The sequence below is a fragment of the Homo sapiens genome, chromosome 12, assembly GCF_000001405.40.
Source record: "Homo sapiens chromosome 12, GRCh38.p14 Primary Assembly".
Classification (NCBI taxonomy): domain Eukaryota; kingdom Metazoa; phylum Chordata; class Mammalia; order Primates; family Hominidae; genus Homo; species Homo sapiens.
Window position 1 is genome coordinate 55,973,456 of NC_000012.12, and position 23,284 is coordinate 55,996,739.

Genomic DNA, 23,284 nt, shown 5'->3' on the forward strand with positions numbered 1-23,284 from the left:
AAGCCTCACTAAAAGGAGGAAGCGCTGATGTCAGGGTTACTTAAATTCCCAGGCTCCGGATCCCTAGAAGAGGTATTTCCCTTTACGCCCGCGAATTTGTCATAGAAGGCAGGGCACTAGAGCCAGCCCCAGCCAAGTCCAGGGGGAGGGGCGAAGGTCAGTAGCGGCCTTCCTAAGGCTTCCTTCAACCCCTCCTTGCCTGCCAGTCAAGTACCGTATTTTCGCAGTACTGGTTAAAGTTTCACTTTGACCCGCCTCCATCACTCACCTGATTAGATGTTTATGAGTCAAAAGGCGGGGTCATGGGGTGTCGAGATTTTATTGGTGGATACATACGCCTGTCGGCAGTGTACCGCCCCCTGTCTTCAGGAGCTTGCTCTTTAATGGCTCCTTACCTCGTCCATCTTCGAGGTTTCTCCCTCGCTATTGGCTTGTGGCCCCGCCTGTCGCGTCCCTTGCTCGTACTTGTTGGTGACAGCGCCCAAAGAGACTCGCCTTTCTCCAGAGGATTGGTGGATGAGTGCACATATAGCCCACCCTCGAAGGTAGGCGGGTAATCGAGCTATTGGCTGGAGCCCCGCCCCAGGGCGAGGAGGAGAAGGAGGGGCAGGAGGGTTTGGTTGAGCTGCAGCTGTTTGTCTGTTCGACACAGGCTTGGGGCCGACGGGGGAGACGGAGCCCCAGGTACCGAGCTGATGGAGCCCAAAGGGCAGGGGCGGAAGCGCCCGGGAGATGAGAGCAGCCTGGCCTGAGAGCGGAGGCGGGTCTGGTCCTAAGCGAGGGGTTAGAGTGGCCCACCGGAGAGGGGAGAAGGGGGCCGGGCCCCGGCAGGCCTAATGGGGGTCGCTGAGGAGGGGACTGGGCGGCCTGGGACCCCGAAGTTGGTGAGTCGGGAAGGCGGCTGGGCTGTGGCGGCGGCCAGGCCGAGGGCCGGGGGCTGGAGGCCTGGAGCTTGAGTGAGGGCAGGGGCAGGCCTCATTAAGCAGCGCTGAAGAGGGAGGAGCTGGGGAAAGGAACAGGGCAGCGGGTGAGGTAAGCCCATTTGCCGGGAGGTGAGGAGGGTCAGACCTGTCGCCCGAGCCCCGGGGGTGACTGGGGCTGGGTCCCTGCAGAGAGGTTCATTGGAAGGGCCTGAGAAGGGTTCTTAGTTGGGTAAGAAGCGTTCTTTTCAGGGAAAGTGCCTATTGTAAAAAGAACTGAGGGTGCTATGGTGTTGAGCTGAGAGAGATTTGGGTTCAGTGAGGGAGAACTGGGGAAAATGAAGAAGGCTGTATTAATCTAGAAGACTAAGGTAGTTGAAGTAATGGAAGCAGGGCCTGGTATCAGTTATGGGAACTTCTGGGAATGCTGAAGGGTGGGCTGGGGGCTCTGGGTCTTGGGAGTACACACTCTTTTGTTCCCTTTAGTGTTTAGATGTGGTAATTTGAAGCTTTTTAAAACTCCCAGGGTAGGGATGAAGATCAAAGTAATTTTTTTTTTTCCATGACTGTTGGCTGCTCCAAACTCAGCCCCTACACTTTCTGTTGGCCTCATAGCTGGTCTATACTGCAGTCTGTTTCTTAACTTACTGTTTCATGTCCTATGAAAGAGCTAAGAAGTTGGATTGGGGGCATGTTTTGTCCACTTCTTTCCCACTTAATAATGTGGTCTATAGCAAATACCATGTCTCCTAGAACTGAGAATCTATTTCATATCTATTTCATTATCTACATGGGAAAGGGGCTTAGAGATCCTCAGCCATCAGGAGATCTTCTGATCATAGTTGGTGAAACTTTTGTGGGACTTAGACTTGACTTGGGTATTTCCCAGGCAGGTAATGGAGTTAACAGGTCCGAAACTATGCGGTGATATCACTGAGGAAGAGATTTGGGGAAGAGTGAGAAATTCCATTTCAAAAGCTTGGCATCACCCCTTGTTCTTTGTCTACTTCAAAAGCCCAGATTTCTGTGCTGTTAGAAAGTTGGGTCAAACTATGAAGTATCTGGGGAAGATGGTGAGTAGAGAAAAAGATACAGAGGTGCAGTAGCCCACGCCTGTAATCCCAGCACTTTGGGAGGCTGAGACAGGAGGATCACTTGAGCCCGGGAGTTCGAGGGTGCAGTGAGCCATGATCTTCCCACTGCACTCCAGCCTGGGCAACAGAATGAGACCCTGTCTCCAAAAAAAAAAAAGACAAAGATTGCCAAAGCAGAGGAGTGGAGTACCCTCCTCCCCACATATTTTTAATGGTCTGCTAGCCTTCTTAGTCCCTCATAGATTGGAGCCTATTGGATTTTCCCTTACTGTACTTCCTCCTTTTCTGCGTCTCTACCAATATATTTTATCACTACATTTCTTTTTTTTTTTTTTTTTTTTTTGAGACGGAGTCTCACTGCAACCTCCACCTCCCAGGTTCAAGAGATTCTCCTGCCTCAGCCTCCCAAGTAGCTGGGACTACAGGCGTGCGCCACCACGCCCAGCTAATTTTTGTATTTTTAGTAGAGACAGGGTTTTACCATGTTGGCCAGGATGGTCTCAATCTCTTGACCTCATGATCCGCCCACCTCGGCCTCCCAAAGTGCTGGGATTACAGGCGTGAGCCACCACACCCGGCCATCACTACATTTCTTAATTACAAAAGTTAATATGTACATATTTTAAAATATGGAAGGTGTACAGCAGTTTAAGAAGTATAAATCCTCCCACACATACCTTATTCATATTTCATTTAGGAAGGTCAAGGATCAGAGACAGCAAATCAGACTAATCTTGCTTTGCTTTGGGGGATGTGTCACAAAAGGCAATTGTGTTTTCATGTTCTCATCAAACTCTAGTCTTATTCTTTCTACAGTTTTCCCTTCTGGGATGATACTCTGTTATTTATTGTGTTCCTTTCACAGTTCATTTTGTCTTCTACCAAGTCCGACAAGCAGAGGGCTGTACTGTGTGTTATTCACCTTGAGTACACACAAACACACACACCCCAAGTTGTGTGCTGGGTGTCCTAGGAAGTGCCCAAAGAGATGGAACAAAACTTTATGGGGAGAAAGGATCATTTTGGTTGGGATAATTGTTGGCATCTCTGCTAAAGAAAGGAATTTCAGACCCTTATCTCAAATTCATGGTCTCTGGATGTTCATGGTCTCTGCATGTTCACATTACTTGACTATCCCTTTCTTATCCATGATGATGATGGTTCTCCTAAGAGGCCCCTGTATTTGTCTTTCTTTTCTTTTCTTCTATTTTTAGAGACAGGGTCTTGCTTTGTCACTTAGGCTGGAGTACAGTGTGTGTCTTTCTGTAGGGATCTGAGAAGCTCCAAGCTTATCTGGATTTGAAATCGGTTTTCCTCTAAATCTCAGAGTCAGAGTACAGCTGGGGCATTTCATACTACCACCTTATTAATTGAATTTGTCCTTACTAGCTTTAAAAGCCCTCTGTTGTACCCAGCCTTTGTACAGCGCCCATTGGAAACCTCGGTTTTTTCCCCCAAGGAACTTTTCTCACCTGCAAGCCAGTCCTAGAGACAGTTGTGTAGGAGTATGTGTGTGTGTTTTTAGACGGAGTTTCACTTTTGTCACCCAGGCTGGAGTGCAGTGGCATGATCTCGGCTCACTGCAACGTCTGCCTCCTAGGTTCACGCGATTCTCCTGCCTCAGCCTCCAGAGTAGCTGGGATTACAGGCGTGCACCACCACGACCAGCTAATTTTTGTATTATTAGTAGAGACGGGATTTGACCATGTTGGCCAGGCTGGACTCTAACTCCTGACCTCAGGTGATCCACGTGCCTCAGCCTCCCAAAGCACTGGGATTACAGGAGTGAGCCACCGCGCCTGGCCGTGTGTGCGTGTGTGTGTGTGTGTTTTAATCCTATCTAATTTTTCCAACAGTTTTTTGCATCCTAAGAGAGTTTAGGAGTAGAATTATCAATAAGGAATTTCATACATAGACCTGGAGTTGCAAAAATATATTTGGAGAAGAGAGCTTTCCCATTGCCCTTCAAGTCATACCTCATATCTTTTAAAATTTTTTTCCTGGACAATCCCTACTGCATAACATACCTCATATCTTCTAACTCTTACTTTACCTGGGAGCAAATATTGCTTATTGGTATGAATTTTACTTCTGAGAAGGAGGCATAGGGTAGAAGAAGCAAGCGTATAGTTTGCTCCCTAATCCTAAAGCATTTCAGATTGGAAGGTAACCAAAGTGTGAGACAATGAACTTATAATAAGGAAATGCAGCAGCCCTCTTGGAGGAAGGATACCATAAAACCCTACATGGTATACTCCCACTTCCGTTTTGGGAAAGATTTAGCCATTGACTCAACAGTAACTGAACTGAATAAGGAGCTACCCAGGTGAACAAAGTATGTGTACATTTCTGGGCAAGGTTGTAGCTTCTGTTCAGGGACAGTGGGTACCTTTTCAGAGTGTCTCCTGGTTCTGTGGTGTTATGGCTCCTTTTTTTAAACTTGTGTTTCTCAAGTCAGGAATTAATAGATAGTGGCCCAAAGCTTTTGACCGTTCAACATCAACTGAAAATTCAGCGAACTTTGTTTTTAGCTATAGTTGCCTCAGTGTTTGGGTGGGAGGGCCACATATTGGGTGTGATTAGGCCATCTGAGGCATAGTAACGGGTGACAGGAAAAGCAGTTAGCCCATGCGAGTTGCAATAGTACCTTGTGGGCAAGATCCCAAGGGGGCCCTCCATCCAAGGGAGATCACAGAGGAGCCAGGGAGAGAATTGATTCTGAGGCCTATTAAAAATATTCCCAAATGGGGCCGTGTGCGGTGGCATGCGCCTGTAATCCCAGCACTTTGGGAGGCTGAGGCGGGTGGATCACGAGGTCAGGAGATTGAGACCATCCTGGCTAACACGGTGAAACCCCGTCTCTACTAAACAAAATACAAAAAATTAGCTGGGCGTGGTGGTGGGCGCCTGTAGTCCCCCAGCTTCTCGGGAGGCTGAAGCAGGAGAATGGCGTGAACCTGGGAGGCAGAGCTTGCAGTGAGCCGAGATCGCGTCACTGCACTCCAGCCTGGGCGACTGAGCAAGACTCCGTCTCAGGAAAAAAAAAAAAGAACCCAAATGGAATTGAGTAAGATCTGTCCAGATGGTACAGAAAGGGAGGAGTTGATTGGGGGAGAGAAGTAGAATTACTTAGCCTTAATTTAGGGAGCATTTAATGAGCACCTACTAGGGATCAGGCAGCATGCTGTGCTCTGAAGATTTTAAGATAAACTCCCACTTTTAAAGAAGTTCATAGTTTAGCAGAGCAGACAGACACAATTTATATACTGTGATAATGTGATACATACTATTATAGAAATACAGTCTTTTTTTTTTTTTTTTGAGACGGATTCTTGCTTTGCTGTCCAGGCTGGAGTACAGTGGTGCAATCTGTGCTCACTGCAACCTCCGCCTCCCGGGCTCAAGCAATTCTCATGTCTCAGCCTCCTGGGTAACTGGGATTACAAGCCTGTGCCAACATGCCCAGCTAATTTTTGTATTTTTAGTAGAGACGGGGTTTCACCATATTGGCCAGGCTGGTCTCGAACTCCTAACCTCCAGTGATCCATCTGCCTTGGCCTCTCAAAGTGCTGGGATTACAGGTGTGCGCCACCACACCTGGCCAGAAATACAGTCTTAATACTGTGGGACCCTACGGGCCTCTAGAGAATGATTAATTCTGTGGGGGAGAGGGTGATTATGTAATTTCACTGAAGTAACATTTGAGCTTGGTCTTATGAGATATATAGAATTTTGCTAGGCAGACAAGTAGGGACGGGCATTCCAATCTTACCTAGGTCAATAATAGGGAGTTTGTACTACCATACTGATAAGAGGTAAGTATGCTTTTTGCCTCTTGGAGAAATATAAGGGAAAGGGTGCGAGATGTGGAAGGAATCTCATTTAATCCAATGACTCATTAGGTAACACTGGATCAACAAAATGAAGAGCTGAGCCAAGTGGTAGAACTCTCATTTCAAGATTTTGGTGACTTGGGTTTAAACAGAGTTGGAGAGGGAGATGAAGGTATTTACTGGTTTCTGCTCTATCTTCCCTACTTAGTAAAACTCTCACATTAATCGCAGGGCCCACCAAATTCTGCAAAAGTTACCGCTTGTTTTCCTATTGCCTCTCATTGAATTGCTTCTATTTCAACTGTCCTGGCAGGGTTTGGTCATAGACCTTCTAGAAAAGAGTAGTGATGAATTAATTCTTCTGTCAGAAAGATATGGGACTGCATCCCAGTTGCCAAGGAAGGCCTGGGTCTTCTTAATTTGTTTTTAGTCCCAAAGCAAGTACTTACCTAAACTGAATAGAGGCAGGAACTCTATCCAGTCTAAGCTCTCGATCCTGTCCTGGTGTTCTCTTTAGAGTTCAGCATTTCCTGCTTCCTTAAGAAGTATAGTGGTATAAGAGGCAGGAGTACCTGACTAGGAGTCCTACATTTACTGCTTAGCAGTTGGCTGTATGGTAACACTTGACAAGTTGACTAATTTTATTTTATTTTTTATTTATTTATTTATTTTTTGTGCAAATGGTGGCCTTTAATACCAAGAAAGACCATGACAAGTGACAGAACAGGAGCAAATTCCCTAGTGTAGTGCCGAGCTAGCCCTTTGCAGGACCCTAAAACCTGATCTAGTAACAGAATAAATCAGTGTATTTACATTTATGTTTGCCCTGAAAACCCAGGTAAGGTCTGAAGCCTGAGGCATCTCTCCTTCCTTTCCTCCTCCCTCTCTTCCTACCTCCTTGCCTTCGTTCACTTCCTCAATTCATTCCTCTCCCTTCTCCCTTCCTCTCTTTTCCTTCTTTTCCTTTCTGCTTTTCCCTTTTCTCCTTTTTCTCCTCATTCTCTTTACCATCTACCTATGTGTCCCTCCAAGCCCCTCTGCTATTTCTCCCCTGCTCACTCCCTCTGCTGTTGTCTCCCTCAGGTTCAGCTTCCGGGGTGGGGAGGCAAGAAAGGGTCCTCAGCTCAGGGAGCACTTGTTGGTGTTCTTTATGTCACAAGTTTTCAGGTCAGTACTGGGAGGCTTGTTGCCGTTTCCTGATCTCCGGCCTCCTGACTTGAGCAAGATGTCCCGGGCCAGGGAACTAAAAGCCTCATCCACATTCATACTGGATTTAGCACTAGTTTCGAAAAATCGGATTCCATGCTCTCGAGCCAACTTATCGGCCTGCTCCTTCTGCACCTTCCTCTTGGCCTCCATGTCACATTTGTTCCCTAGCAAGAGGTGCTCCACCCCAGCTGAGGCATTCTCCATGATGCTTTTCATCCAGTTCTGAATATTCTCGAAAGATTTCTCATCCGTGATGTCGTATGCTAGGATAATGCCCATGGCTCCACGGTAGTAGGCAGTAGTTATTGTCTTGAACCGCTCTTGGCCAGCTGTGTCCCAGACTTGTAGTTTGATCTTCTTCCCCTCTATATCCACAGTGCGGATCTTGAAATCAATTCCGATGGTGGAGATGTAAGTGTTGTTGAAGTTGTCCTCTGCAAAGCGAATGATCAGACAAGTCTTGCCCACCCCCGAGTCCCCGATCAGCAGCAACTTGAAGAGGTGGTCGTAGGCTTTGGCCATGGCGGACACCGGGGGAGCCGGGGAAGGGATGGGGCTATTTATTTATTTTTGAGACGGAATCGCTCTGTTGTCCAGGCTGGAGTGCAGTCGTGTGATCTCGGCTCACTGCTACCTCTGCCTCCCAGGTTCAAGCAATTCTCGTGCCTCAGCCTCCTGAGTAGCTGGGATTACAGGCACGCACCACCACACCCAGCTAATTTTTGTATTTTTAGTAGAGACAGGTTTTCACCACGTTGGCCAGGCTGGTCTCAAACTCCTGACCTCAGGTGATCTGCCCATCTCGCCCTCCCAAAGTGCTAGGATTACAGGTGTAAGCCACCACGCCTAGCCCAAATTGACTAATTGTATGTGTCTCGGTTTCCTCACCTATAAAATATAGAGACTGGACTAAATGACCTCTAGACTGGCTCTGATCTGCCTGACTGACCTTAAGGCTGACAACTGGTACTGGGTTGGACTCCAGTGGCTATATATACCGAGAACTCTGTCTCTGTTGATAGGTGATAGACTTCTGGAGACTTCATATGTATTTGGTTTAGGGACTCAAAGCTAACAAGTGGAAGGGGGCTTGAGGAATGGAGTCTTACTCTAGCTGGGACTGCTAAGACACTTTTACTGTTATGCCTACTTTGCTGCACTGCTTGGGAGAGTTGCCCACATTAAAGAACATCCTCCATGGGTCTCCTGCATCTAGTGGGCTAACCCATGGTCAGGCCTCAATCCTCCCTAGTTAATGGGTCATTTTATAAGTCATTCTTGTAGAGCCGTACTTCTTTTTTTTTTTTTTTGATGGAGTCTTGCTCTGTCACCCAGGCTGGAGTGCAGTGGCAAAGTCTCGACCCACTGCAGCCTCTGCCTCCCAGGTTCAAGCAATTCTCCTGCTTCAGCCTCCCAAGTAGCTGAGATTACAGGTGTCAGCCACCACACCTGGCTAATTTTTGTGTTTTTAATAGAGACGGGGTTTCACCATGTTCGCCAGACTGGTGTTGAATTCCTGACCTTAGGTGATCCGCCCACCTCAGCCTCCCAAAGTGCTGGGATTTCAGGCATGAGTCACTGCACCCGGCAGAGCTGCACTTCTAAGGGAAGTTAAATCTGATTTCTTCTCTTCTGAGCTAAAAAGGTTGAAAGGAAGAGAAACCTGCCCCATCTCCCTTTTTTTTGTCTCGGGTTTGAAGGTAATAATCATCATACCACTTGACTGGTTTACCAAAAAAAAAAAAAAAAATTAGTATTTTTGTGGGAAAAAATGAGAATAGAAAATAAATAATTGAATCTTATATGTATTATTTCATTTCTGTACCACAGAATTTTTGAGAGTCTAGCTATTATATTTTTTAAATGATACCCTTATAAACATGATAAGATTAAAGATCAAAGCTTAGAGGTGGCTCAACAATTGCTGTGAACAGGGAGGAAGGCAGGACATATTCTTTCTTTTTCAGAGGTGGGATCTCACTATGTTGCCCAGGCTGGTCTCAAACTCCTGGGCTCAAGTGATCCTCCTGCCTTGGCCTCCCAAAATGCTGGTATTACAGGCGTGAACCATGATGTGCAGCCAGAACATACTCTTAAGGCTACATATTAGGGTACGAGGTAGTCTTTTCTAAGTCAGTAGTTACTGATCTCTGAGAATCCAAGGTTGCTTAGTAGCAAGAAAGCTTGCTGACCACATCTGGGCTCTGGCTTGACTTCCCATCTCTGAGAGTTAGTGACAGAGACTTTGCAACTCAAGCGTGTCTGCAATTGTTTCCTGTCTTTACACTCCCCCAGAGCTCAAGTGATATGTTTAGCCATGAGAATTCAGTCCATTCTAACTCCCACATTTTCCTTTATTGTAGAGTAGTAACATTGAGGCTTAATATTCTACCCCTTGGATCACATGCTTTGAAATACATAAAAATGTAAGGGAGTAAGTTGAAAAAACCAGTAACTTTTTCTATTGTTTCTTGAGAGTATAGCATATATATGTCACCTGAAGGAAACTTGATCAGCTTATCATCTGTCCTTTTTTTTTTATTATGGTGTCACCTGTCTTCTCTTTTATTTATTTTTTATTTTGAGAGACGGAGTCTTGCTCTGTTGCCCAGGCTGGAGTACAGTGGCATAATCTCAGCTCACTGCAACCTCCGCCCTCTGGGTTCAAGCGATTCTCCTGCCTCAGCTTCCCAAGTAGCTGGGACTACAGGCATGTGGCGCTACACCCAGCTAATTTTTGTATTTTTTAGTAGAGACGGGGTTTCACTATATGTTGGCCAGGCTGGTCTCAAACTCCTGACCTCTCAAACACCAGAGTGAGACTCTCTCTAAAAATGGAAAATAAATTTTAAAATGTTATAATTAAAGATACTCATTTAAATTGAATAAATTTAGCTTTATGAAAAATTTGCTGTATCATCTTTATTTTGATCCTTTCGTCATAGGCCATTGAAAACTTAATCATAAAATGGTACATGTATATCTGAATTTTTAAGACTGACTGACCAAGGGGACTACAGAATACCCAGTAGAATCAAAGTAATTGTCATGTTCCTCTGTATTAATCTAGTCTACTTTGGGACCTTGAGTTCTCACCTCTCATTCTTTTGCTAACTTCCTCTTTACCCTTTAGTTATGTCTCCTTTTTTTTTTTTTTTTTTTTCCAGAGATAGCGTCTTGTTCTGTCGCCCAGGCTGGAGTGCAGTGGTGTAATCAGCTCACTACAACCTTCAACTCCTGGGCTCCAGTGATTCTCCCACCACAGCCTCTGGAGTAGCTGGGATTACAGGCACATACCACCATGCCCAGCTAATTTTTTTAAATGTTTTCTAGAGACTCAGTCTCGCTATGTTGCCTAGGCTGGTCTCAAACTCCTCACCTCAAGCAAGGCTTCCCCTTTTATCTCCCAAACCCCTGGGATTACAGGCATGGGCCGCTCTGCCAGGCCTGTTTTTTCTCTTTTTCTTTCTCTGTACCACTTTCATATTGTGGCTTCTTCCCTGCCCCCGATCTCCCCCCTACCCACCCCAGGTGGAGTCTTGCTCTGTTACCCAGGCTGGAGTGTGGTGGCACGATCTCGGCTCACTGCAACCTCCGCCTCCCGGGTTTAAGCAGTTCTGCCTCAGCCTCCCGAGTAGGATTACAAATGCCGGCCACCAACCACACCCGGCTAATTTTTTTTTTTTTTTTTTAGACTGAGTCTCGCTGTTGCTCTGTCGCCAGGCTGGAGTACAGTGGTGCAATCTCAGCTCACTGCAACCTCCACCTCACAAGTTCAAGCAGTTCACCTGCCTCAACCTCCCAAGTAGCTGGGACTACAGGCACGCGCCACCACGCCCAGCTAATTTTTGTATTTTTAGTAGAGACGGGGTTTCACCATGTTTGCCAGGCTTGTCTCAAACTCCTGACCTCCTGATCTGCCTGCCTTTGCCTCCCAAAGTGCTGGGATTACAGGCGTGAGCCACTGTGCCCGCCTTTTATTTTTTGAGACGGAGTCTCGCTCTGTCACCCAGGCTGGAGCACAGTGGCGCATCAGCTCAGTGCACCCTCTACCTTCTGGGTTTAAGCGATTCTCCTGCCTCAGCCTCTGGAGTAGCTGGGATTACAGGTATGCACCACCACACCCAGCTAATTTTTTTTGTATTTTTAGTGGAGACGGGGTTTCACCATGTTGGCCAGGCAGGGCTCGAACTTCTGACCTCAGGTGATCCACCTCAGCCTCCCAAAGTGCTGGGATTATAGGTATGAGCTACTGCACCCAGGCTGTGGCTGCTTTTTAGGAATATATTGATAACAACTAATATTGAGATATATTTTAATAGCTATTAGCACTATGCTAAACACATCTTTCACTTATTATTTGTAGCTATGAGGATGGTATTTTTTCCATTTTACAAAGGTAGAAGGTAAGGCTTAGAGAGGTAGAGAAATTCTCTTTATATCATATTAGTAATGATTAGTAGCTTAATATTTATTTAGCACTTAGTATCTATCAAATACTTAAAATACTTTAGTTATTTATATGCATTATCTCATTTAATCCTTACAACACCCTTATGAAGTAGGTGCTTATAAGGCTATTATCTCATTTTACAGATGAGGAAATGAATGCACACATATATTTAGTGACTTGCTCAAGGTTCATAGCTAGTAAGTAGAGCTGAAAAACAAACGTGGAGAATTGGACTCCAGAGCCTTTATTCCTCTGAATTGCCTCCTGTATGATTTTCTGTCTTTACGATCTAGTAAGTGGGGTTACTGAAAATTTTTAACCCCAGTTTAACTCCAGTCCCACTAATTGTGGTGACAAAATAATGATGTTTCCCCACATATGCCATAGAGTATGATGTCTGTGAAGTCACTAGGATCTGCTTTGGAAAAGCGAAAGAGTAATTTGAACAAGCAAAGTACAACTCTCAAGCAATGCTTAGGTTTGGGAGAGAGGTTTTTGCATGCTCTGCCTATGCTAACTTCCCTTTGAATTTCATAGTTCCTTTCCGCTCAGAGTCAGGATGATGAAATGTATTCAGATTTAGACGATTAGAATCTCAAAGTCCCAACTCTTCTCTCTGTTCCCTGCCCCACCAGCAGCTTTCTTAGCCCTCTTAGAAGATAGAGGAGCTGATTCAGTGTATTCTTTCATCAAATACTGATTGCTTGCAGACTTAACGCCCTATACCATCCTCTGGAGACTTCTGCATGTCTTTAGAAGGTATACCTTTCTCTGCCTCTAATTTGGAGGGCTACAGCTGTTAGGCCCCTTTGGTGTGGAGGGTAATCTAATCCCTAGGCACCAGCAAGACAGCTGCAAGTTGAGAGTAGGTCAAGCTTACTGATTCTTGATAGACTTTCAGATTTGGAAAGATGGCAGAAACAAAGTGAAAAAAGAGTTGTTAATGAAACAAAGAGTTGATAATGAATGTGATCTGTTGGTTGTATTTCTCTCTTTACCTTCAACCAAAAATGAGAAAGGATAGATTTTGTGGCAATGGGACCCTGGTTAGATCTTTAGAAATGTCTTATCAGGGAGACCGGTCATATATAAAGGATACAGCAGCAACTACCCTTCTGCCCTTAGGAGTGGTGACTCTTATCCCACACCCCTAGAGTGAATCTCTCATTTTGACAAAGAGCTAAGGAAAAATGAAAAGAAGGCCAGGCACGGTGGCTCATGCCTGTAATATCAGCACTTTGGAAGGCCAAGGCGGGCAGATCACCTGAGGTCAGGACTTCTTAGACTAGTCTGACCAACATGGAGAAACTCCGTCTCTACTAAAAATACAAAATTAGCCAGGCGTGGTGGTGCATGCCTGTAATCCCAGCTACTCGGGAGACTGAGGTGGGAGAATTGCTTGAACCCGGGAGGCAGAGGTTGTGGTGAGCCAAGATTGTGCCATTGCACTCCAGCCTGGGCAACAAGAGTGACGTCTCAAAAAAAAAGAAGAAAAGGAAAAGAAGAGCACAGCACCAGGATGCCAAGGAGATACTGGGGATCTAGGGTACCGGTGGGTGGATCTGGATATTCTTCAGGCCAGCTAAAGGTTGATCACTTTGTGTGACTCAAACAAAAAACTTTGAAGACCTGGTGGGGAATTACTGGGGAATTAAAAACTCTCAGTTTTCAGTCTCTCTATTTCGGCTCCCTTGGCAGTTAGAGATTATGTGGTAGGGCAGACTCCAGAAGCAGTTCTTATTTTGCTCTTCCCAACTCTTACCACTGAGGATCAGCTGCCTGGGACCTTCTCAGAGCTAAGTCCTCATAGAAGCAAGGAGATGAAGAGGTTCTATCCTTCTCTGAAAAGCGATTGCAGCTTCAATGGACGTATGTTTAATTTTATTCACTTTTTTTTCTTGCAGGAGTGTTGAAGCCTGGAAATCCCCTCCCCTTCCCCCTCCCCCCTTTACAGTATCCCCCTCCCTCCACCCTTTCCCATTCTGATAATCTGGCCATGACTAGCAGAAGCACAGCTAGGCCCAATGGGCAACCCCAGGCCAGCAAAATTTGCCAGTTCAAATTGGTCCTGCTGGGAGAATCTGCAGTGGGAAAGTCAAGCCTGGTATTACGTTTTGTCAAAGGGCAGTTCCATGAGTACCAGGAGAGCACCATTGGAGGTGAGTGCCTTGGGGTAATAGGAGATTGAATGTTTGGTAAGGGTTTTTTTTTTTTTAGATGGAGTCTTGCTCTGTTACCCAGGCTGGAGTGCAGTGGCGCAATCTTGGCTTACTGCAACCTCTGTCTCCCAGGTTCGAGCGATTCTCATGCCTCAGCCTCCCGAGTAACTGGGATTACAGGTGCACACCGTGGCACCTGTCTAATTTTTGTATTTTTAGTGGAGAGGGGGTTTCACCATCATGTTGGCCAGGTTGGTCTCAAACTCCTGACCTCAGGTGATCTGCCTGCCTCGGCCTCCCAAAGTGCTGGGATTACAGGCGTGAGTCACCACGCCGGGCCGGTAAGGCTTTTGAAAAGAGATATAAGACCTGATTATGGAGCTGGCCCTCTTAGTCCCATTCTTTTCCCCAGAAATGGAAACCCTTTATAAAAACAGAGGCCGGTCCCAGTGGCCCACCACTTTGGGAGGCCAAGATGGGCGGATCACCTGAGGTCAGGAGTTCGAGACCAGCCTGCCCAACATGGCGAAATCCTGTCTCTACTAAAAATACAAAAAATTAGCCAGGCGTGGTGGCAGGCGCCTGTAATCCCAGCTACTCGGGAGGCTAAGGCAGGAGAATCACTTGAACCCAGGGGGCAGAGGTTGTAGTGAGCCGAGATTGCGCCACTGCACTCCACCCTGGGCGACAAGAGCAAAACTCCATCTCCAAAAAAAAAAAAAAATCAAAATCTGGTAAAATAGGCTGGGCATGGTGGGTCACACCTGTAATCCCAGCATTTGGGAGGCCAAGGCAGGCGGATCACTTGAGGCCAGGAGTTCAAGACCAGCCTGGCCAACAAGGTGAAATCCCCGTCTCTACTAAAAATACAAAAAATTAGCTGGGCGTGGTGGCACATGCCTATAATTCCAGCTACTCAGGAGGCTGAGGTAGGAGAACTACTTGAACCCAGGAGATGGAGGTTGCAGTGAGCCAAGATTGCGCCATTGCACTCCAGCCTGGGTGACTAGAGTGAAAATCCGTCTCAAAAAAACAAAACAACAACAACAACAACAAAGATTAGCCGGGCATGGTGGCACATGCCTGTAATCCCAGCTACTTGGGAAGCTGAGGCAGGAGACTCGCTTGAACTCATGAGGCGGAGGTTGCAGTGAGCCAAAATCACGCCAGTGCATTTTATCCTAGGCGAAGGAGCGAGACTGTTTCAAAAACAAAAAAAAATCTGGTAAAATAGAGGCTGGAACTAATGCAAAATACAAAGGGTGTCTGTCTTTCTCATCTTTGCTACCTTTTCCCCACTACTACCCCAAAATAGGGTGCTAATTCAATAAAGGATCTTTTATGAGAACTTCCAAATTATTCCTTCCCCTTGTTATTTTTATTTATTTATTTATTTATTTTTGAGACGGAGTCTCTGTCGCCCAGACTGGAGTGCAGTGGTGCAATCTTGGCTCATTGCAACTTCTGCCTCCCAGGTTCAAGTGATTCTCGTGCCTCAGCCTCCTGAGCAGCGGAGATTACAGGCACATACCACCATGCCCGGCTAATTTTTGTATTTGTATAGAGACAGGGTTTCACCGTGTTGGCCAGGCTGGTCTCAAACTCCTGACTTCAAGTGATCCACCCGCCTCGGCCTCCCAAAGTGCTGGGATTACAAGCATGAGCCACCGTGCCTGGCCTCTTTCCCCTTTTTATTAGTCATCTTGGAAATGTATTCCTGGACCTGCAGCAGATTATATGAAAAAGTAACAGCCAAATAATATTGATAATGATGGGACTTGCCATCAAGCTTTAAAATCTTCTAATTAATTCTTTTTTTTTTTTTTTTTTTTTTTGGATACTGAGTCTCACCCTGTTGCCCAGGCTGGAGTGCAGTGGTGCAGTGGTTGCCCATTGCAACTTCCGCTTCCCCAGTTCAAGCACTTCTGCTGCCTCAGCCTCCCAAGTAGCTGGAATTACAGGCGTCCATCACCATGCCTGGTTAACTTTTGTGTTTTTAGTAGAGGCGGGGTTTCACTATGTTGGCCAGGCTGGTCTCGAACTCCTGACCTCAAGCCATCCACCTGCCTTGGCCTCCCAAAGTGCTGGGATTACAGGCATGAGCCACTGCGCCCAGCCAATCCTCTAATTAATTCTTTTGTTTGTTTGCGTTTGTTTGTTTGTTTTTTGAGACGGAGTTCCGCTCTTGTTGCCCAGGCTGAAGTGCAGTGGCGCCATCTTGGCTCACTGCAACCTCCACCTCCCAAGTTCAAGGGATTCTCCAGCCTCAGCCTCCCGAGTAGCTGTGATTACAGGTGTCCACCACCACGCCTGGCTAATTTTTGTATTTTTAGTAGAGACGGGTTTTGCCGTGTTGGCCAGACTGGTCTCGAACTCCTGACCTCAGGTGATCCACCTGCCTCAGCCCCCACCTCCCAAAGTGCTGGGATTACAGGCGTGAGCTACCGTGCCCAGCCCAATCTTCTAATTAATTCTTGATGTGACTTTTATCTGAAGCTATTTTCTCTGTCATTTGTTATTCTCCTATTTTGGTTAGAAGAAGGATGACTCGTATAAGTGCCAGTTCTTCTGTCCCTCTTAGTTTATGATGTACCCCCATTCCTTAGCTAGTGACATTTCTGGCAGGAAGGACTTAGCCAAGGGCAGTCTTAATCCTGGTTTCAAGACTTACATGTAAGGAGAACTCAAAACCTTTTCCTGTAGCTGACTATCCTGGGTGGTGACTGGTCTTAGTGTAGGGCAGTTACATTTTGAAGGGGGGGAGGGATGTTCCCATTCATCCTCCCACTTACAGCATCTTCCCCTCCATTCTCTCATCCATAGCGGCCTTCCTCACCCAGTCCGTTTGTCTAGATGACACAACAGTGAAGTTTGAGATCTGGGACACAGCTGGGCAGGAGCGATATCACAGCTTAGCCCCCATGTACTACAGGGGTGCCCAAGCTGCAATCGTGGTTTACGACATTACTAATCAGGTAAGTGAGCTAAGAAGACTGTCCTTGTTGGCTGGACATGGTGGCTTACGCCTATAATCCCAACACTTTAGGATGCCAAGGCGGGAGGATCATGAGGTCAAGAGATTGAGACCATCCTGGCCAACATGGTGAAACCCCGTCTCTACTAAAATTACAAAAATTAGTTGGGCGTGGTGGTGCGCGCCTGTAGTCCCAGCTACTCGGGAGGCTGAGGCAGGAGAATCGCTTGAACCCAGGAGGCGGAGGTTGCAGTGAGCCGAGATCGAGCCACTGCACTCTAGCCTCGGCGACAGAGCAAAACTCCGCCTCAAAAAAAAAAGAAAAAAGACTGTCCTTGCTTATATTTAGAGGAGTTAGTTTGGGGCAGGGGGTAAGGGGGCAGAAAACGGGTTCTTGAAATAGCAAATAAGAGTACAAATTATGCTTCCAAGTGCTAAGAAGACAGATAATGAATTATCAGAGACCTGTGGTTTCACTGAGGGAAGACCACCTAGAAGAGGTGAATTTTGAGACTCATTTTAAAAGGTGATGGATATGGATTGGCAGTCATTCCAGCCTACTCATTCTCTTCATGTTTTCCTAGGAAACCTTTGCCCGAGCAAAGACATGGGTGAAGGAACTACAGCGACAGGCCAGTCCTAGCATCGTTATTGCCCTGGCAGGGAACAAAGCTGACCTGGCCAACAAACGTATGGTGGAGTATGAAGTAAGGTGGCCCGTGGAGTTCCTCTCTAACACTTCCTCTGTTCCTGGGACCTCTTTTTTTCCAAACCAGCCCTCTCTGAAAACGTCAACAGAGGACATTCATTGTCTCATTCCCCAGTTCTACACCAAGTTAAATACAGCAACACTGTGACCCTAATGACAGCCAGGAGATTTTCAAAGGAGTCAGGAGAAAACTCCAGAGCAGAGGGTTAGGGAGGTACCAGCTGTGGGGGTACCAGTGTGAAAACAGGAAGGAGGGAGCAATTAAATTTGTGGTAAGGGACTATTCAAGTGTCACAACCCAAAAGCCCCCAACTAACTTACCCTCTCCCCTATAATTAAGCTTTCTGACATTTGTGTGTTGGACTGAGTGGACATGGGGTCATCTTGAGGGAGTTGTCATTAAATTATGCATCTAGGCTAGCTGGCTCAAAGGGGTATTAATTAAGGGGAGGGAACCTAGGATTTTGCCTAGCTGTTGTGCTGCATGGGAGTGGAAAGGCAATACTCGTTCCCACCCTACATTCTGAGCACTAATACATCCCACTCCTTGCAGGAGGCCCAGGCATATGCAGATGACAACAGCTTATTGTTCATGGAGACTTCAGCCAAGACAGCTATGAACGTGAATGATCTCTTCCTGGCAATAGGTAAGGTCAGAACATCCTGAGGTCCTCCTTTTTCCCTCGTTTATAGGCAAAATTATAGCTAACCCAAATCAAGGATAGGTGCGAGTATCTCCTTTTGCAAAAACTTTAGGTATGGAAATACCTTAACTTTCTGTTATGACCTCCATCCTTGGCTGCAGCTTTAGCTCCCTTGTCTTCAATGTGTAAGTTTGCCGGCCAGGTGTGGTGGCTAACACCTGTAATCCCAGCATTTTGGGAGGCCGAGGCGGGCGGATCACGAGGTCAAGAGATCAAGACCATCCTGGCCAATGTGGTGAAACCCCGTCTCTACTAAAAATACAAAAATTAGCTGGGCGTGGTGGCGCACACCTGTAGTCCCAGCTACTTGGGAGGCTGAGCCAGGATAATCACTTGAACCCGGGAGGTGGAGGTTGCAGTGAGCCGAGATTGTGCCACTGCACTCCATCCTGGCAACAGAGCGAGACTCCATCTCAAAAAAAAAAAAAAAGTTTGCAAATAGTGAACCCTCCCATCTTCAGAACATTCTTTTAATCTCTCAAATTCTCCCTTTTCCCCAATTCAGTAGCCGTTTTTGGCGGGTGGAGGCAGAGGGGTAGGGAAGTAAAGTCTACCATACTTTGTTCTCTTCTCTTTTTATCTCTAGCTAAGAAGTTGCCAAAGAGTGAACCCCAGAATCTGGGAGGTGCAGCAGGCCGAAGCCGGGGTGTGGATCTCCATGAACAGTCCCAGCAGAACAAGAGCCAGTGTTGTAGCAACTGAGGGGGTGGCTAGCAGCAAACAAGTATGGAGCTAGCACAAGAGCTAAGAAATAACCTCCATCCCTACCCCTCAGCACACAACCCCTACGGTAACAGCACACTGAGCCCTGGCTCCCAAGGGCTGCCTCCTGACAGCTCCGTCATGGCACTTTTTAACGCTTCAGCAACAAACACCAGGCAGCTGTTGCCACTGGCCTCCTACCCCCTACTCTGGGGCTTGGGGGTCAACTCCCCCCAGGACTTACCTTCCAAAACAAACTTTCTTCACTTTGTATTATAGGTACAAGACAGCGACTTACGTATCTTTTCTCCTCCTCCCTAGTGTTCCTCCCCATTTTTTCAGAAAACACTTCTGACTCCTGTCCCTTCCCCTTCTGCTTTTGGTCAGTCCCTGTTCTTGAGCCTCTTTTCTCCTCTCCCCAGGATGCAGAAAGTGGTGAACCCAGGAACTGAGGAAGGAGGTTTCCAGTTCATTTACATTAAGGGCCCTGGGGGAGAATAAAGCTCAGAGCAGGAGGGAGTAAGGAAACATTTCCTTTTTGTTTTTATTTGGTTGGAGTTTCTCATATTTGAAAACATTGCGGTATCCATGATTTGGCCTTGTGGAGGGTGTTCCTAGGTAGAGGTGAGAATGGGGAGGCAAGATCTCAGGCACCAGGCAGGAGGTGCCTTGTAAGCTAACTGGGCGGAGGTGGAGGTGCAGTGTCAACTGTGGCTCTGTAACTCTTCAAAGGCCCAGTTTCCCCTCACGCAGCCTCTTAGGTAGCGTTTCCCCTAATCGTGGGGGTTGGACCCCAGAGTCTTCCAAAGAATTTTCACTGGTTGCCTGCATCTTTGGCTCTGCTGTGATCTGATTGGAGGAGGGACAGTTTCTGGTACCCATCCTCTGATTTATACATATGCATTTTTTCCCCTCTGGCCTTTAGATGGCCTCAGCCCCAGCCACCATATACCCCTGCAGTTTGCACTTTAATTGATGGTAGTTCAGTTGGGGTACTTGTTTTATGGAAGTTTTGATTGATTTACTTGCCCTCCCACCTTCTTTTTAATTCAATGAAATCTGAGGTTAATGCGAGGTTCGAGGAGAGGTTATAGATAAAACTACCAGTGGCAGCTACTCAAGTCCTATCTCCACTGTTAGCTTCCTCCAACTCTAATTATTAACCTATATTCTTGCCAAGCTAACTATTGACTATAGGTTTGCCTTTCCTGGAGAATTAATTGAGCAATTGAGGAGTGTCTCAGGATAGCACAGGCCAAGGTAGGGGAGTAAAAAGGAGGTCAGGCAAAAGGGAGGAGTTTTCTGTCCTTTCCCAGGTTTCACACTCAATTTGATATCCATTACCATGTCTTTTCTACTTCCTTGTAAATAGGTATGATCTTTATTCCCACTGTACAGTCTGTTCTATCCTCTGCCTCCCATCAGGCCCTGTTTCTTTGTTCCTTTGTTAATATCTTGAATTTAGTCCCTCCATCCTTAATCCCCCCATCCCTCCCCATCATGCAACCAGTGGTTTAATCCATGTACCAATAGGGGCTAGTACCACAGAGGCCTCCTGTGGTGCCCTCGTATCATACCACCTGTTCCTGTGGAGAGGGAATGACCGGCACTGAAGGTACCTTACAACTGGCTCATATTATCAGAGGACCTTGGTCCTTTCTAAATCTCTAGTCTCTCTTCATATCCTTCATCAGGTGTTTTAAGATGTCTCTGAGAAGCCATCAAGGCAAAAGAGAACTTTAAGTTCCTTGTTCCAGCCCGGAGTTTTGGGAAAGAAAGAAAGGAAAGGTCACAGTGACCTAGGATTGGAACCTTCCTGCCCTTTTGGCTTGCAGACTGCCTTCTATCCCAGAACAGCTGAGAAATCTATGAAGCTGAGATTCTGAAGGACCCAGCTTAGGTTCTTCCACTTAGGCCTCAATTCCCTTCCTTTTCCAGGGGCAGCCTTAGTTCCCATGGCCCTGAAACACACACATTTCCCCCTTCCTTTCCCAGAAGCCACTGGCCCCCCATAGCACCCAGTGCATCCTTTTTACAAGTGGAAGAACTAGGATGGCTTTCCAAAGTCTTCTAGAAATGAAGTTCTTTCTCTGTGCAGCTTTCCCCCTTGGAGCAGGAGTGAAGATGTTTCATTATCTTGGGCCTGGGAAACCACTTCCCCAGGCTTCTCCCTCCCCCCACCCCCATAGGAACAGGATTTGGCCTTAGCTTCTGGGCCTATCGGCTGCCTTCCCTCTACTTCCTACCACCTCTTCTGCCTTCCTTTGAGCTCTGTTGGGCTTGGGGATCTTAGTTTTCTTTTGTTTATTTCCCAGCTCATTTTTTTCTTCTGGTCAGTTTTTTTAAGGGGGGGTGTTGTGGTTTTTTGTTTTTGTTTTGCTTCTGAGAAAGCATTTGCCTTTCTTCCTCTCCCAACATAACAATCGTGGTAACAGAATGCGACTGCTGATTTACCGATGTATTTAATGTAAGTAAAAAAAGGAAAAAAAGAAAAGGGCATTGGAGTGTTGCTTTTTTTTATTTTATTGTTATTATTATTATTATTTTTGCTATTTGTCAGGTACTAGGAATTTGGAAGAAAGGATACCCAGTAATGTTCTACTGAATCAGAAACACACCTTTCCCTGCATCTTGATACATCTTTATTCCCTTTAATCTTTTCTTAAACATCTAGTTTAGAAAATAGCCCTTCTATTGCTATTTAATCACCCCTCTTCTAAGGCCACTAGATTGTTCATCAAATCAAACCCTATTATATCTTTTTAGGCCCTCTTAACAGAATGTATATGTGTAGGGTATGGTCTGTGGATCTTTGGGCCCACTGATCAGATTAGAGAGAGGGGTGCTATTTGAAGTAGTATACAAAAATGTATGTGCATATTTCTTTTTTTTTTTTTAATTGAGACGGAGTCTCTGTCGCTAGCCTGGAGTACAGTGGCACGATCTTGGCTCACAGCAATCTCCGCCTCCTGAGTTCAAGTGATTCTCCTGCCTCAGCCTCCTGAGTAGCTAGGATTACAGGCACGCACCAACACACCCAGCTAATTTTTGTATTTTTAGTAGAGACGGGGTTTCACCATGTTGGTCAGGCTGGTCTTGAACTCCTGACCTCGTGATCCACCCACCTTGGCCTCCCAAAGTGCTGGGATTACGGGCGTGAGCCACTGCGCCCGGCCGTATGTGCATATTTCTAGGATCCATTTCTATATGTTTCTCAAAGGGGTCCATGACCCAAAGGTTGAAAAACATCACTGAGTTAGTTTTCTTGTAGCTTCCACCTCAACGGGAAAATTTCCTCTGGATCTGCTCTTGACTCCTAGTGTACTTCAAACCCTTCAGTCCACCACAGTCTAAAGGTCGAGGGAAGGGAAATGAAATAGGATTATGTGTGGTTGCAGTAGGCTTTAAATTCCAAAGAATCTGAAGGTGGATAGGAAAGAGGACTGGTGCCAGACAAATCTGACATTCTAGGCCTGTCTCTGTCAACTTAACCAGCTGTGGCCTTGATCAAGTTAGTTAGTGCCTTCCGCCTCGTTTCTTCATCTGTAAAGTAAAAGCTGAAGATTAAGGTCAATTATGTAAAGTATGTGTGTCACACAAAAGTAGATGACACTATTAGGAAGGAGGCTTTTAGATAGTCCCTAACTGACTTCTCTGTATCTTCCTTTGGCTGAGACTTTTTTTTTTTTAGGTTGAAGCTCGCTTTCTCTCTCTCTCCCTCTTTCTCCCTCTCTCTCTCTCTCTCACTCTCTCTCTCTCCATATATATATACATATATATATATATATATATTTTTTTTTTAACAACTGGTAGGATAGGTTGGGCATTAGCCTTCTTCAGTGATTTGATTGTATACAGATTGAAATCCTTTCCATTTCCAAACACTTAAGAGCCAAAGCCAACTTGCCAACTTTTCACTGTCGGTTCCCTTACCTTATATCTCTTGGTAATACCCCCCACCCCCGTTCCCTGATTCCTGGTAAAAGCTCTAGTTGGAGAGCCGAAAGGAAAGGAAATGATCTTTCAAAATTAAAGGTGAACACCTTCACTTAAACTGATTAAAATTGCAGCTCCACCGTCCGGCCTCTAGAGGGCAGTGTATGGATACATTTGTCCAGATTGGGGGACTAGGTTTGATAAATTTTGTCCTGCATCAAATGACAAAAGGGTAATAGGAAATGTATTATATTTATGCCCCTTACTTTGAGATAAGAGACTACAACCTTCATACTTCGGGGTGTTAAGCTGCCATTGCTCTTGTTAAGGGGCAGTTTGTTTTTTAAGAGATGGGGTCTTGCTCTGTTGTCCAGGCTGGAGTGCAGTGCCGCGATCTTGGCTCAGTGCAACCTCGAACTCCTGGGCTTAAGCGATCCTCCCGCCTCAGCCTCCCGAGTACTGGGACTACAGGCGTGTGCCACCAAGGGGCGATTATTATTTTTTTTTTCTACGCAAAATAAAAGACGGCTATTCAGTGTTGTTGTTTCATTTTTGTTTGGGGAGAAATTCGACTAGCCCAAGGAATCTCAA

At 46.1% G+C, this 23,284-nt stretch overlaps 1 protein-coding gene and 1 pseudogene across 5 annotated transcripts, besides 1 other annotated feature; one reads left to right on the forward strand and one right to left on the reverse strand.

The window, feature by feature from the left end:
• Positions 367-516: an enhancer, noted in NCBI's record as "active region_6465". NCBI's record gives its function as "activates an Ori minimal core promoter by ATAC-STARR-seq in GM12878 lymphoblastoid cells {active_cell/tissue: GM12878}" and the evidence as "EXISTENCE:reporter gene assay evidence [ECO:0000049][PMID:35858748]".
• Positions 494-23,228, forward strand: RAB5B (RAB5B, member RAS oncogene family). 5 transcript variants are annotated; one of them, NM_001414458.1, is made up of 7 exons: positions 623-884; positions 5,917-6,019; positions 13,414-13,668; positions 16,492-16,643; positions 17,227-17,349; positions 17,905-17,998; positions 18,642-23,228. In NM_001414458.1, the coding sequence occupies exons 1-7, from the start codon at positions 837-839 to the stop codon at positions 18,755-18,757; spliced, it is 891 nt and encodes a 296-aa protein (NP_001401387.1). In that variant the 5' UTR covers positions 623-836; the 3' UTR covers positions 18,758-23,228. The 5 variants fall into 5 exon arrangements, with proteins under 5 accessions (NP_001238965.1, NP_001401387.1, NP_001401386.1 ...); NM_001414457.1 differs by having other exon boundaries at positions 623-684; NM_001252036.2 differs by lacking the exons at positions 623-884; positions 5,917-6,019 and adding an exon at positions 494-545.
• LOC100131294 (RAB13, member RAS oncogene family pseudogene) lies at positions 6,519-7,612 on the reverse strand (annotated as a pseudogene).